This window comes from Homo sapiens, chromosome 19, assembly GCF_000001405.40.
Source record: "Homo sapiens chromosome 19, GRCh38.p14 Primary Assembly".
In the NCBI taxonomy this organism is placed as follows: domain Eukaryota; kingdom Metazoa; phylum Chordata; class Mammalia; order Primates; family Hominidae; genus Homo; species Homo sapiens.
In genome coordinates, this window is record NC_000019.10 from 47,900,623 (window position 1) to 47,914,511 (window position 13,889).

The following is a 13,889-nucleotide window of genomic DNA, read 5'->3' on the forward strand; positions in this document are numbered from 1 at the left end:
TTTTTTTTTTTTTTGTAAAAAGAGAGGGGGTTTCACCATGTTGGCCAGGTTGGTCTTGAACTCCTGACCTCAAATGATCTGCCTGCCTCGGCCTCCCAAAGTGCTGAGGTTACAGGCGTGAGCCACCGTGCCCAGCCATCTACTCTTAAGTTTGGTTGAAGTTTGTTTATATATTGTTAGGTTACAGTTTGCCACATAAGGAGGCAGCTTTAGGCCAAATTTCACTTAATTTAAACAACTGGTTTTCTCAATGCTGCAGTGAGGTGAGGGCAGAAAGGCTTGAGCGCTTGATGTGTCGGGAGGGAAATATCTTCACTAACATAGAACAACCTGAAATTTCAATGGATCACATCTGAGAAATGAATCTGAGGTTGAGTTGAAATCAAATATATAAAGTCAGGTAGGAGTGAGGACAAAATGCCAATACTTGATGTTTCATAAATGCTTTCATACATACCAGGGAACTATTATTATCTCTATTTTAGAGTTAAAAAAGGGGGTGTTCAGAGTGGTTAATCATTTTACGAAGTCATGTAGCTCCTAAGTGGCAGAGCTGGGATTTGATCCCAGGCACTTTCATTCCAAGTCTGTGTTTGTAATCTGTGACTTATGGTCCCCAAAAGATACGTTCACGTCCCAACCTCTGGAACCTACCAATGTGACCTTATTTGGAAAAAGGGTCTTTGCAGATGGCATCAAGTGAAGAATCTCAAGATGAGAGTATCATTAATTACCTGGTGGGCCTTAAATCCAATAACAAGTATCCTTATGAGATAAAAAAGAGGAGAAGACACAGGCACACAGAGTAGAAGGCCACATGAAGTTGGAGGCAGAGACTGGAGTGTTGCAGCCATAAGCCACCGAAGGTCTGCAGCCACCAGGCGCTGGAAGAGACCAGGAAGGATCCTTCCCCAGAGCCTCCAGAGGGAATGTGGCCTGACCGATACCTTGATTTTGGACTTCTGGCCTCCAGCACTGTGAGAGAATAACCCACGATAGTGTGGTGGTTTGCTCTGGCAGGCACAGGAAGCTAATACAGTGCTCTTTAGTTCTACATGGCCCCGCTTCCTCCAGAGCTACGTGGGCCTTCCCTATTAGTTGATGTTCATCAGTTCTATTGCACAAAGCTGAAGATGTCCAACAACGGTACTCAAATCCCACACATCCTTGGGGACCTTGAGGGTTCTAGGCTCTCTAAGGTAAGGTGCCTGTTAGGGAGGACAGAATCCAGAAACAGTGAGTTCGTTTTTTTTTCTTTTCTTTTTCTGTTTTTTTTGAGAGGGAGTTTCACTCTTATTGCCTGGCTGGAGTGCAATGGCAAGATCTCGGCTCACTGCAACCTCCGCCTTCCGGGTTCAAGCAATTCTCCTGCCTCAGCCTCCCGAGTAGCTGGAATTACAGGCATGTGTCACCACTCCAGGCTAATTTTGTATTTTTAGTAGAGATGGGGTTTCACCATGTTGGCCAGGCTGGTCTCCAACTCCTGACCTCAGGTGATCCAACTGCCTCGGCCTCCCAAAGTGCTGGGATTACAGGCGTGAACCACTGCGCCCAGCCAACAGTGAGTTTTTAATACAGAACCCAGAACTTCTCTCCCATTCTGTACTCTTCTCTAACCATATAAACAAAAATTAATAAGCCAAACGTTTGTGGTGGGGCATGGTAGCTCACGCCTGTAATCCCAGCACTTTGGGAGGCCGAGGCGGGTGGATCACGAGGCCAGGAGTTCAAGACCAGCCTGGCCAAGATGGTGAAACCCCGTCTCTACTGAAAATACAGAAATTAGCTGGGCGTGGTGGCAGGCTCCTGTAATCCCAGCTACTCCAGAGGCTGAGGCAGGAGAATTGCTTGAACTCGGAGGGCGGAGGTTGAAGTGAGCCGAGATTGTGCCACTGCAATCCAGCCTGGGTGACAGAGTGAGACTCTGTTACACACACAAAAAAAAACAAAAAACAAAACAACAAACAAACGTTTGCATCTGAAAGAAATCTGCATACTTTTGTATCATTTTCGTTGATATTTCTCTCAGGTTCATCAATCTTGCCAGAAGATCTGCAGAATCTGCAGATATTCTTACTAGAGAAGCCGCAGTGAGTGTGAACATTTCAGCCGGGGATGGGAGGAAGGAAAAGCAGTCCTGGGGACATTTTTTGCTCCAGGGGACCAGTGATGCTCCATTAAGTGGCACTTGCAGATCAAGTTCTGTTTCTGCTTTGAACAGAATGTTCAGGCACCCGAGAGATAGAACAAAGTGCTGAACTCCGTTCTTCACGTCATTAACCTTAATGACCTTCAGACAGTTCCCATCCATACACAGAGTCCTACAGATTTTTGAGATCCAAAAGGTTATTTTACTATTGTCTTACCAAATTTCTAGGGGACTTGTCTTTAGAATTAGGTAGCGGCTATGTGAATCTTCCAGGGGTAAAGGTCCTCTGCTTCCTCACAGGGATTCTCCCACAATCCCTTCCTGCATGCCACAAACACAGCATGTCCCTTTCCCCTCAATCCCTGCACCTTCCAGGCAACATTTAATGCACCTTTTTTTTTTTTTGAGACAGAGTCTCACCCAGGCTGGAGTGCAGTGGTGCGATCTCGGCTCACTGCAACCTCCGCCTCCTGGGTACAAGTGATTCTTCTGCCTCAGCCTCTTGAGTAGCTGGGACTATAGGCACATGCCACCACGCCTGGCTAATTTTTCTATTTTTAGTAGAGACGGGGTTTCACCACATTGGCCAGGCTGGTCTACAACTCCTAACCCCATGATCTGCCCACCTTGCCCTCCCAAAGTGCTGGGATTACAGGCATGAGACACCGCGCCTGGCCTTTTTTTTTTTTTTTTTCTTTTTTTTTAGGACAGAGTCTCACCCAGGTTGGAGTGCAGTGACACGATCTCTGTTCACTGCAACCTCCGCCTCCCGGGTTCAAGCGATTCCCCTGCCTCAGCCTCCTGAACAGCTGGGATTACAGGCACCCGTCCCCATGCCCGGGTAATTTTTGTATATTTAGTAGAGATGGGGTTTCACCATGTTGGCCAGGCTGGTCTCGAACTCCTTACCTCAAGTGATCCATCCGCCTCAGCCTCCCAAAGTGCTGGGATTACAGGCGTGAGCCAGTGCGCCCGGCTTCTTGAATTAGTTTCTAGGAGAAGCCAAGAACCCCCCCGGGCTAAGCCTCAATTTTGGGGCTCGCCTGTGCTGCATCAGCTTCACACCTAGAGAAGAGAGTGAAAGAGAAGGGAGAGCCGTCCTTTTGGGCTGCCTTGAAATAAAGGTTGACCCATGGGTTCATGTATTGTCATTCATTCTCATTTTCTCTTCCTCTCTTTCTCTCTCTCCCCTGCCCCTTAAGTTAGCTTTTCTAAACCCTACCTGGATAAGGATAAGAAATAGAAGGAGGGGACACTTTAGGATGCTACAAAATAAAATACAACAACAACAACAATAACAGCAGCAGCAACAACAAAACAGCAACAAAAGGGGAAGAAACAAATCTGGCCACTGCACATTCCTCCTTGGCAACAAAAAGCCGTGGATGCAAAAAGCTGCCCTTCACTGCATAGACAGAACAGGGCGCGCTCGAGCTATGAATCTCGGAAATTACTCAAACCATCAGCCTCTGCAAGAAGCAAAGTGGACGGCCGGGCGCGGTGGCTCACTCCTGGAATCCCAGCACTTTGGGAGCCCGAGGTGGGCGGATCACGAGGTCAGGAGATCGAGACTGTTCTGGCTAAACCAGTGAAACCCCCTCTCTACTAAAAAAATAAGAAAAGCGAAGTGCATCTCCCATAAACGAGGTACTGCAGGAAGAAAGCAGAAAATGAGACCCGAGTACACACATGCACGCGGGCGCGCGCACACACACACCAGAAGAAATGAACCAAGAGGAAAGGAAACATTTTCAAATAAGCATTTGGAGATGGGAAAAACACGTTGAAACAGAAATTCATAAAGCACAGAATTTTTTTTTAAGTTAAAAAAGGAACAATAATAGACAGAAAATGAATGAAAAATTAAATGTCATATCAGAAGTGAAGATAAATTAAAAGTGGTCAAGGGAGAAGAGATCTAAATGCAAACTTAAGAAGGGGCAATTTTTTTTTTTTTTTTTTTTTTGAGACGCAGCCTCACTCTGTCGCCCGGGCTGGAGTGCAGTGGCGTGATCTTGGCTCACTGAAACCTCTGCCTCCTGGATTCAAGCGATTCTCCTGCCTCAGCCTCCCAAGTGGCTGGGATTACAGGCATGAGCCACCATGCCCGGCCTAGAGTCATCATGGAAATTAAACAACCTGCTTCCAAATGACTTTTGGGTAAAGACTGAAATTAAGGCAGAAATAAAAAAATTATCTGAAACTAATGAAAACAAACATACAACATCCCAGAATCTCTGGGACACAGCTAGAACAGTGCTCAAAGGAAGTTTCTAGTGCTAAAGGGCTACACTAAGAAGCTAGAAAGATCTCAAATGAACCGCCTAACATCACACCTAGAGGAATTAGAAAAACAAGAGCAAATCAACCCCAAAGCTAGCAGAAGAAAAAAAAAAACCAACATCGGAGCTGACCTGAATGAAATGGAGACGTAAAAAACCATACAAAAGATCAATGAAACCCAAAGTTGATTTTTTAAAAAAATTATTTATTTATTATTTATTCCATAAATTATTGGGGTACAGGTGGTGTGTGGTTACATAAGCTCTTTAGTGGTGATTTGTGATTTTGGTGCACCCATCACCTGAGCAGTATACACTACACCCTACTTGTTGTATTTTATCCCTCGCCCCCGCCAACTCGTCCCCCTAAGTCCCCAAAGTCCATTGTATCATTCTTACGCCTTTGCGTCCTCATAGCTTAGCTCCCACATATCAGTGAGAACATACGATGTTTGGTTTTCCATTCCTGAGTTACTTCACTTAGAATAACAGTCTCCGGTCTCATCCAGGTCACGGCAAATGCTGTTAATTCATACAAAGTTGATATTTTTGAAAGCATAAATAACATGGGAAGACCACTAGCTAGATTAATAAAGAAAAAAAGACAAGATCCAAATAAACACAATCAGAAATGACAAAGGTGACATTACCACTGACCCACAGATATACAAGAAACCCTGAGACTATTCCACATGCCTCTATGCACACAAACTAGAAAACTAGAAGAAATAGAGAAATTCCTGGAAACATAAAACCTCTCAAGATTGAACCAGGAAGAAATGGAAACCCTGAACAAACCAACGATGAGTTCCAAAATTGAGTTAGTCATACAAAACCTACCAACCAGCACAAAAAACCTTAGACTAGACGGATTCACAGTCGAATCCTACCAGATGTGTAAAGAAAAGCCGGCACCAATCCTACTGAAATTATTCCACACAATTGAGGAGGAGCAACTGCTCTCTAACTCATTCTATGAGGTCAGAGTCATTCTGATACTGAAACCTGGCAGAGACACAACGAAAAAAGGAAAATAGGTAAAGTAATACATATGTTAATGATCTTGATTTAGCCATTCTACGGTATATACATATTTCAAAACAATATGTACATGATAAATATGTACAATTTGTCAATTAAAAATATATAAAAGGAATAGGAAAAAATTCAAATGGCACAGAATTTGAAAGGAGAAGATACAGAACAAACTCCGGTGTCTTCTTTATTCAACTATATATACACACATTCAATGGACTGGGAGCAGTGGCTCAAGCCTGTAATCACAGCACTTTGGGAGGTCAAGGCGGGCAGATCACCTGAGGTCGGGAGTTCGAGACCAGCCTGACCAACAGGGAGAAACCCCAGCTCTACTAAAAATACAAAATTAGCCGGGCATGGTGGCGCATGCCTGTAATCCCAGCTACTCGGAAGGCTGAGGCAGGAGAATCGCTTGAACTCAAGAGGTGGAGGTTGTGGTGAGCCGAGATGGCACCATTGCACTCCAGCCTGGGCAACAAGAGCGAAACTCAGTCTCAAAAAAAGAAAAAAAAGGATTTAATGAATGAATGATGAGACTGTTGGTTACATCTCCCACCTTCTCCCTCTCACTCCACTGCAGCCACACGGGGCTCCTCACTGTTCCCGTAGCAGCAGGCATGTGCCCCCACTGGGCCTCTGTACTGGCTGTTCCCACTGCCCGAACACCCTCATGCACCATCTGCACTGTCCAATATGGCCGCCTCTGGCCACACATGGCTACTGAGCAGTTGAACATGGCTGGTCCAAACCAACATTTCCAAGACGTCGTATGGTAAAAAATAACATAAAATCTTGCAAAAATGTTTCTATTGATTATGTTAAAATTATGATGTTTTAGGTATATTAGGTTAAATCAGCTATTTTATCCAAATGAATCTCGCCTGTTTGTTTTTGCTTTTTTTTTTTTTTTTTTTTTTGAGATGGAGGCTCGCTCTGTCGCCCAGGCTAGAGTACAATGGCGTGGTCTCGGCTCACTGCATCACTGCAACCTCTACCTCCCAGGTTCAAGCGATTCTCCTACCTCACCCTCCCAAGTGGCTGGGATTACAGGCGTGTGCCACCACACCCAGCTAATTTTTGTATTTTTAGTAGAGACAGGGTTTCACCATGTTGGCCAGGCTGGTCTCGAACTGCTGACCTCGTGATCTACCTGCCTCGGCCTCCCAAAGTCCTGGGATTACAGGTGTGGGCCACTGCGCCGGCCATGTTTCTCGACTTCTGCTGGCAAGCATGTTCCAGTATTTGCATGGCTCCTAGCCCTCATCTCCATTTCTCTGCACAGATGTTACCTTCCCCATGAGGTCTGCCTTATACATGAGGCCTGTATTATAAACTGCAACTCCGCATTCCCCAACCCCGTTGTTTCTTCTCTCCAGAACACTAGGCACCATCTGATCTCCTATGCCTTTTCCTTATTGTCAGATACTGAACTCTCAGATACAGTTCCCCTTCCTCCCTCCAGGGGGCGCCATGGAACGCAGGGCCCTCACTGGCCCTGGGGACTGGGTGACGACAGGGGGGAGCCTCTGGTGATTGGCTCCCTCACCCTGCGTAAGATCAAAGGGACTAAAGGACAGCCCCGACACCCGGAGCCATTGTGGCTCAGGCAGGTTGCGCCTGCCCTCGGGCCCTCACGGAGGCGGGGGTTCCAGGGCACGAGTTCGAGGCCAGCCTGGTCCACATGGGTCGGAAAAAAGGACTTTTTTTTATCGTTCCCAATATAACGACAAAACATAAAGGGAGGACGCCTTGATAGGAAGAAATGACATCTTCCTAAGTGTTTTTAAATTACTTCCATGTGTCTTTTTTTTTTTTTTTTTTGGGAGACCGAGCCTTGCTCTGTTGCCCAGGCTGGAGTGCAGTGGTGTGATCTTCGCTCACTGCAACCTCCGCCTCGTCGGTTCAAGGGAGTCTCCTATCTAAGCCTCCTGAGTAGCTGGGATTACAGTCGCCTGCCAAGAGATGGGGTTTCGCCATGTTGACCAGGCTGGTCTTGAACACCTGGCCTCAAATGATCCACTCGCCTTGGTCTCCCAAAGTGGTAGGATGACAGGCGTGAGCCACCGCGCCCAGCCTCTTCTATTCTTTTAGAGACAGGTTCTCACTGTGTTGCCCAGGCTGGAGTGCATTGATGTGATGTGTGATCATAGCTCATTGCAGCCCTGACCATCCGAGCTCAAGCAATCCTTCTGCCTCAGCCTCCTGAGTAGCTGGGGCCGCAGATGTGCACCACTGCACCTGGCTAATTTTTAACATTTTTGTGGAGCCAGAGTCTGTATAAAATAAAGTGTAAATAGTACCATAAATAAAGAATACATAGTACCATTTTATAGTAGTATAAAACGGACATTAGAAACTCTGAACTTAAAGGTTAAAAAAATACACAAAAGTAGTTCTCAAGTTCTAGAGACTTGGAGAATCCAGGAATCAACAATGTCGTGGAACTCCTACAGCCTTTCATAAAGAATGGCCCTCGAGGAAAGTGGAATTGTCAGTGGGCATTGTGTTCGTGCCTCAGCTAAACACGGCAGGAATTTATTTATAACCTAGTGTAACATCCTCGAGGCACTGTTCAATTAGTCAAGCAATTGTAAAATTCTCCCAGTCTTAGAAAAGATACAGGTGTGTGTCCCTCTGCTGTGGCTGTGCACTGACGCTTCAGTAAAAGTTGCCGTCTAAAACCACCGGCCTGCCCTTGAATTGTTTTGTTTTGTTTTGTTTTGTTTTGTTTTTTTGATTCGCAGCCTCACTCTATCACCCAGGCTGGAGTGCAGTGACACGATCTCTGTTCACTGCAACCTCCGCCTCCCGGGTTCAAGCGATTCCCCTGCCTCAGCCTCCTGAACAGCTGGGATTACAGGCACCCGTCCCCATGCCCGGGTAATTTTTGTATATTTAGTAGAGATGGGGTTTCACCATTTTGGCCAGGCTGGTCTCGAACTCCTTACCTCAAGTGATCCATCCGCCTCAGCCTCCCAAAGTGCTGGGATTACAGGCGTGAGCCAGTGCGCCCGGCTTCTTGAATTAGTTTCTAGGAGAAGCCAAGAACCCCCCCGGGCTAAGCCTCAATTTTGGGGCTCGCCTGTGCTGCATCAGCTTCACACCTAGAGAAGAGAGTGAAAGAGAAGGGAGAGCCGTCCTTTTGGGCTGCCTTGAAATAAAGGTTGACCCATGGGTTCATGTATTGTCATTCATTCTCATTTTCTCTTCCTCTCTTTCTCTCTCTCCCCTGCCCCTTAAGTTAGCTTTTCTACACCCTACCTGGATAAGGATAAGAAATAGAAGGAGGGGACACTTTAGGATGCTACAAAATAAAATACAACAACAACAACAATAACAGCAGCAGCAACAACAACAACAGCAACAAAAGGGGAAGAAACAAATCTGGCCACTGCACATTCCTCCTTGGCAACAAAAAGCCGTGGATGCAAAAAGCTGCCCTTCACTGCATAGACAGAAGAGGGCGCGCTCGAGCTATGAATCTCGGAAATTACTCAAGCCATCAGCCTCTGCAAGAAGCAAAGTGGACGGCCGGGCGCGGCGGCTCACTCCTGGAATCCCAGCACTTTGGGAGCCCGAGGTGGGCGGATCACGAGGTCAGGAGATCGAGACTGTTCTGGCTAAACCAGTGAAACCCCCTCTCTACTAAAAAAATAACAAAAGCGAAGTGCATCTCCCATAAACGAGGTACTGCAGGAAGAAAGCAGAAAATGAGACCCGAGTACACACATGCACGCGGGCGTGCGCACACACACACCAGAAGAAATGAACCAAGAGGAAAGGAAATATTTTCAAGTAAGCATTTGGAGATGGGAAAAACACCTTGAAACAGAAATTCATAAAGTACACACATGTTTTTTTTTTTAAGTTAAAAGAGGAACAATAATAAACAGGCAGAAAATGAATAAAAAATAAAATGTCATATCAGAAGTGAAGATAAATTAAAAGTGGTCAAAGGAGAAGAGATCTAAATGCAAACTTAAGAAGGGGCAATTTTTTTTTTTTTTTTTTTTGAGACGCAGCCTCACTCTGTCGCCCGGGCTGGAGTGCAGTGGCGTGATCTTGGCTCACTGAAACCTCTGCCTCCTGGATTCAAGCGATTCTCCTGCCTCAGCCTCCCAAGTGGCTGGGATTACAGGCATGAGCCACCATGCCCGGCCTAGAGTCATCATGGAAATTAAACAACCTGCTTCCAAATGACTTTTGGGTAAAGACTGAAATTAAGGCAGAAATAAAAAAATTATTTGAAACTAATGAAAACAAACATACAACATCCCAGAATCTCTGGGACACAGCTACAACAGTGCTCAGAGGAAGTTTCTAGTGCTATATGGCTACATTAAGAAGCTAGAAAGATCTCAAATGAACCGCCTAACATCACACCTAGAGGAATTAGAAAAACAAGAGCAAATCAACCCCAAAGCTAGCAGAAGAAAAAAAAAAAACAAAATCAGAGCTGAGCTGAATGAAATTGAGATGTAAAATACCATACAAAAGATCAATGAAACCCAAAGTTGATTTTTTAAAAAAATTATTTATTTATTATTTATTCCATAAATTATTGGGGTACAGGTGGTATGTGGTTACATAAGCTCTTTAGTGGTGATTTGTGATTTTGGTGCACCCATCACCTGAGCAGTATACACTACCCCCTATTTGTTGTCTTTTATCCCTCGCCCTCGCCAACTCGTCCCCCTAAGTCCCCAAAGTCCATTGTATCATTCTTATGCCTTTGTGTCCTCATAGCTTAGGTCCCACATATCAGTGAGAACATACGATGTTTGGTTTTCCATTCCTGAGTTACTTCACTTAGAATAATACTCTCCGGTCTCATCCAGGTCACTGCAAATGCTGTTAATTCATACAAAGTTGATATTTTTGGAAGCATAAATAACATGGAAAGACCACTAGCTAGATTAATAAAGAAAAAAAGACAAGATCCAAATAAACACAATCAGAAATGACAGAGGTGACATTACCACTGACCCACAGACATACAAGAAACCCTGAGACTATTCCAAATGCCTCTATGCACAAAAACTAGAAAACTAGAAGAAATAGAGAAATTCCTGGAAACATAAAACCTCTCAAGATTGAACCAGGAAGAAATGGAAACCCTGAACAAACCAACGATGAGTTCCAAAATTGAGTTAGTCATACAAGACCTACCAACCAGCGCAAAAAACCTTAGACTAGACGGATTCACAGTCGAATTCTACCAGATGTGTAAAGAAAAGCCGGCACCAATCCTACTGAAATTATTCCACACAATTGAGGAGGAGCAACTGCTCTCTAACTCATTCTATGAGGTCAGAGTCATTCTGATACCGAAACCTGGCAGAGACACAACGAAAAAAGGAAAATAGGTAAAGTAATACATATGTTAATGATCTTGATTTAGCCATTCTACGGTATATACATATTTCAAAACAATATGTACATGATAAATATGTACAATTTGTCAATTAAAAATATATAAAAGGAAGAGGAAAAAATTCAAATGGCGTAGAATTTGAAAGGAGAAGATACAGAACAAACTCCAGTGTCTTATTATTCAACTATATATACACACGTTCAATGGACCGGGAGCAGTGGCTCAAGCCTGTAATCACAGCACTTTGGGAGGTCAAGGCGGGCAGATCACCTGAGGTCGGGAGTTCGAGACCAGCCTGACCAACAGAGAGAAACCCCAGCTCTACTAAAAATACAAAATTAGCCGGGCATGGTGACGCATGCCTGTAATCCCAGCTACTCGGGAGGGTGAGGCAGGAGAATCGCTTGAACTCAAGAGGTGGAGGTTGTGGTGAGCCGAGATGGCACCATTGCACTCCAGCCTGGGCAACAAGAGCGAAACTCAGTCTCAAAAAAAAAAAAAAAAAAAAGAAAAAGGATTTAATGAATGAATGATGAGACCGTTGGTGACATCTCCCACCTTCTCCCTCTCACTCCACTGCAGCCACACGGGGCTCCTCACTGTTCCCGTAGCAGCAGGCATGTGCCCCCACAGGGCCTCTGTACTGGCTGTTCCCACTGCCCGAACACCCTCATGCACCATCTGCACTGTCCAATACGGCCGCCTCTGGCCACACATGGCTACTGAGCAGTTGAACATGGCTGGTCCAAACCAAGATTTCCAAGACGTCGTGTGGTAAAAAAAACAACATAAAATTTTGCAAAAATGTTTCTATTGATTATGTTAAAATTATGATGTTTTAGGTATATTAGGTTAAATCAGCTATTTTATCAAAATGAATCTCGCCTGTTTGTTTTTGCTTTTTTTTTTTTTTTTTTGAGATGGAGTCTCGCTCTGTCGCCCAGGCTAGAGTACAATGGCGTGGTCTCAGCTCACTGCATCACTGCAACCTCTACCTCCCAGGTTCAAGCGATTCTCCTACCTCACCCTCCCAAGTGGCTGGGATTACAGGCGTGTGCCACCACACCCAGCTAATTTTTGTATTTTTGTAGAGACAGGGTTTCACCATGTTGGCCAGGCTGGTCTCGAACTGCTGACCTCGTGATCTACCTGCCTCGGCCTCCCAAAGTCCTGGGATTACAGGTGTGGGCCACTGCGCCGGCCATGTTTCTCGACTTCTGCTGGCAAGCATGTTCCAGTATTTGCATGGCTCCTAGCCCTCATCTCCATTTCTCTGCACAGATGTTATCTTCCCCATGAGGTCTGCCTTATACATGAGGCCTGTATTATAAAGTGCAACTGCCAATTCGCCAACCCCGTTGTTTCTTCTCTCCAGAACACTAGGCACCATCTGATCTCCTATGCCTTTTCCTTATTGTCAGATACTGAACTCTCAGATACAGTTCCCCTTCCTCCCTCCAGGGGGCGCCATGGAACGCAGGGCCCTCACTGGCCCTGGGGACTGGGTGACGTCAGGGGTGAGCCTCTGGTGATTGGCTCCCTCACCCTGCGTAAGATCAAAGGGCCTAAAGGTCAGCCCCGACACCCGGAGCTATTGTGGCTCCGGCCGGTTGCGCGGGCCCTCGGACCCTCAGAGAGGCGAGGGTTCGAGGGCTCGAGTTCGAGGCCAACCTGGTCCACATGGGTTGAAAAAAAAATTTTTTTTATCGTTCCCAATATAACGACAAAACATAAAGGGAGGACGCCTTGATAGGAAGAAATGACATCTTCCTAAGTGTTTTTAAATTACTTCAATGTATCTTTCTTTTTTTTTTTTTTTTTGGGAGACCGAGGCTTGCTCTGTTGCCCAGGCTGGAGTGCAGTGGTGTGATCTTGGCTCACTGCAACCTCTGCCTCGTCGGTTCAAGGGAGTCTCCTATCTCAGCCTCCTGAGTAGCTGGGATTACAGTCGCCTGCCAAGAGATGGGGTTTCGCCATGTTGACCAGGCTGGTCTTGAACACCTGGCCTCAAATGATCCACTCGCCTTGGTCTCCCAAAGTGGTAGGATGACAGGCGTGAGCCACCGCGCCCAGCCTCTTCTATTCTTTTAGAGACAGCGTCTCACTCTGTTGCCCAGGCTGGAGTGCATTGATGTGATGTGTGATCATAGCTCATTGCAGCCCTGACCATCCGAGCTCAAGCAATCCTTCTGCCTCAGCCTCCTGAGTAGCTGGGGCCGCAGATGTGCACCACTGCACCTGGCTAATTTTTAACATTTTTTGTGGAGCCAGAGTCTGTATAAAATAAAGTGTAAATAGTACCATAAATAAAGAATACATAGTACCATTTTATAGTAGTATAAAACGGACATTAGAAACTCTGGACTTAAAGTTTAAAAAAATACACAAAAGTAGTTCTCAAGTTCTAGAGACTTGGAGAATCCAGGAATCAACAATGTCGTGGAACTCCTACAGCCTTTCATAAAGAATGGCCCTCGAGGAAAGTGGAATTGTCAGTGGGCATTGTGTTCGTGCCTCAGCTAAACACGGCAGGAATTTATTTATAACCTAGTGTAACATCCTCGAGGCACTGTTCAATTAGTCAAGCAATTGTAAAATTCTCCCAGTCTTAGAAAAGATACAGGTGTGTGTCCCTCTGCTGTGGCTGTGCACTGACGCTTCAGTAAAAGTTGCCGTCTAAAACCACCGGCCTGCCCTTGAATTGTTTTGTTTTGTTTTGTTTTGTTTTGTTTTGTTTTGTTTTGTTTTTTTGATTCGCAGCCTCACTCTATCACCCAGGCTGGAGTGCAGTGACACGATCTCTGTTCACTGCAACCTCCGCCTCCCGGGTTCAAGCGATTCCCCTGCCTCAGCCTCCTGAACAGCTGGGATTACAGGCACCCGTCCCCATGCCCGGGTAATTTTTGTATATTTAGTAGAGATGGGGTTTCACCATGTTGGCCAGGCTGGTCTCGAACTCCTTACCTCAAGTGATCCATCCGCCTCAGCCTCCCAAAGTGCTGGGATTACAGGCGTGAGCCAGTGCGCCCGGCTTCTTGAATTAGTT

At 45.6% G+C, this 13,889-nt stretch overlaps 2 non-coding genes across 2 annotated transcripts, besides 1 other annotated feature; both read left to right on the top strand.

Moving 5' to 3' along the window:
- The first annotated feature begins 7,055 nt into the window (after nt 1–7,055).
- On the top strand, nt 7,056–7,177 carry SNAR-A12 (small NF90 (ILF3) associated RNA A12). Its single transcript, NR_004437.1, has one exon. It is a non-coding gene; the product is annotated as a small NF90 (ILF3) associated RNA A12 (small nuclear RNA).
- Nucleotides 8,436–9,036: an enhancer, noted in NCBI's record as "OCT4-H3K27ac hESC enhancer chr19:48412315-48412915 (GRCh37/hg19 assembly coordinates)". NCBI's record gives its function as "activates a minimal SCP1, AML or CMV promoter by ChIP-STARR-seq in naive H9 embryonic stem cells {active_cell/tissue: H9 hESC(naive)}" and the evidence as "EXISTENCE:reporter gene assay evidence [ECO:0000049][PMID:30033119]".
- Nucleotides 12,429–12,548, top strand: SNAR-C5 (small NF90 (ILF3) associated RNA C5). Its single transcript, NR_024219.1, has one exon. It is a non-coding gene; the product is annotated as a small NF90 (ILF3) associated RNA C5 (small nuclear RNA).
- The last annotated feature ends 1,341 nt before the right edge of the window (nt 12,549–13,889 follow it).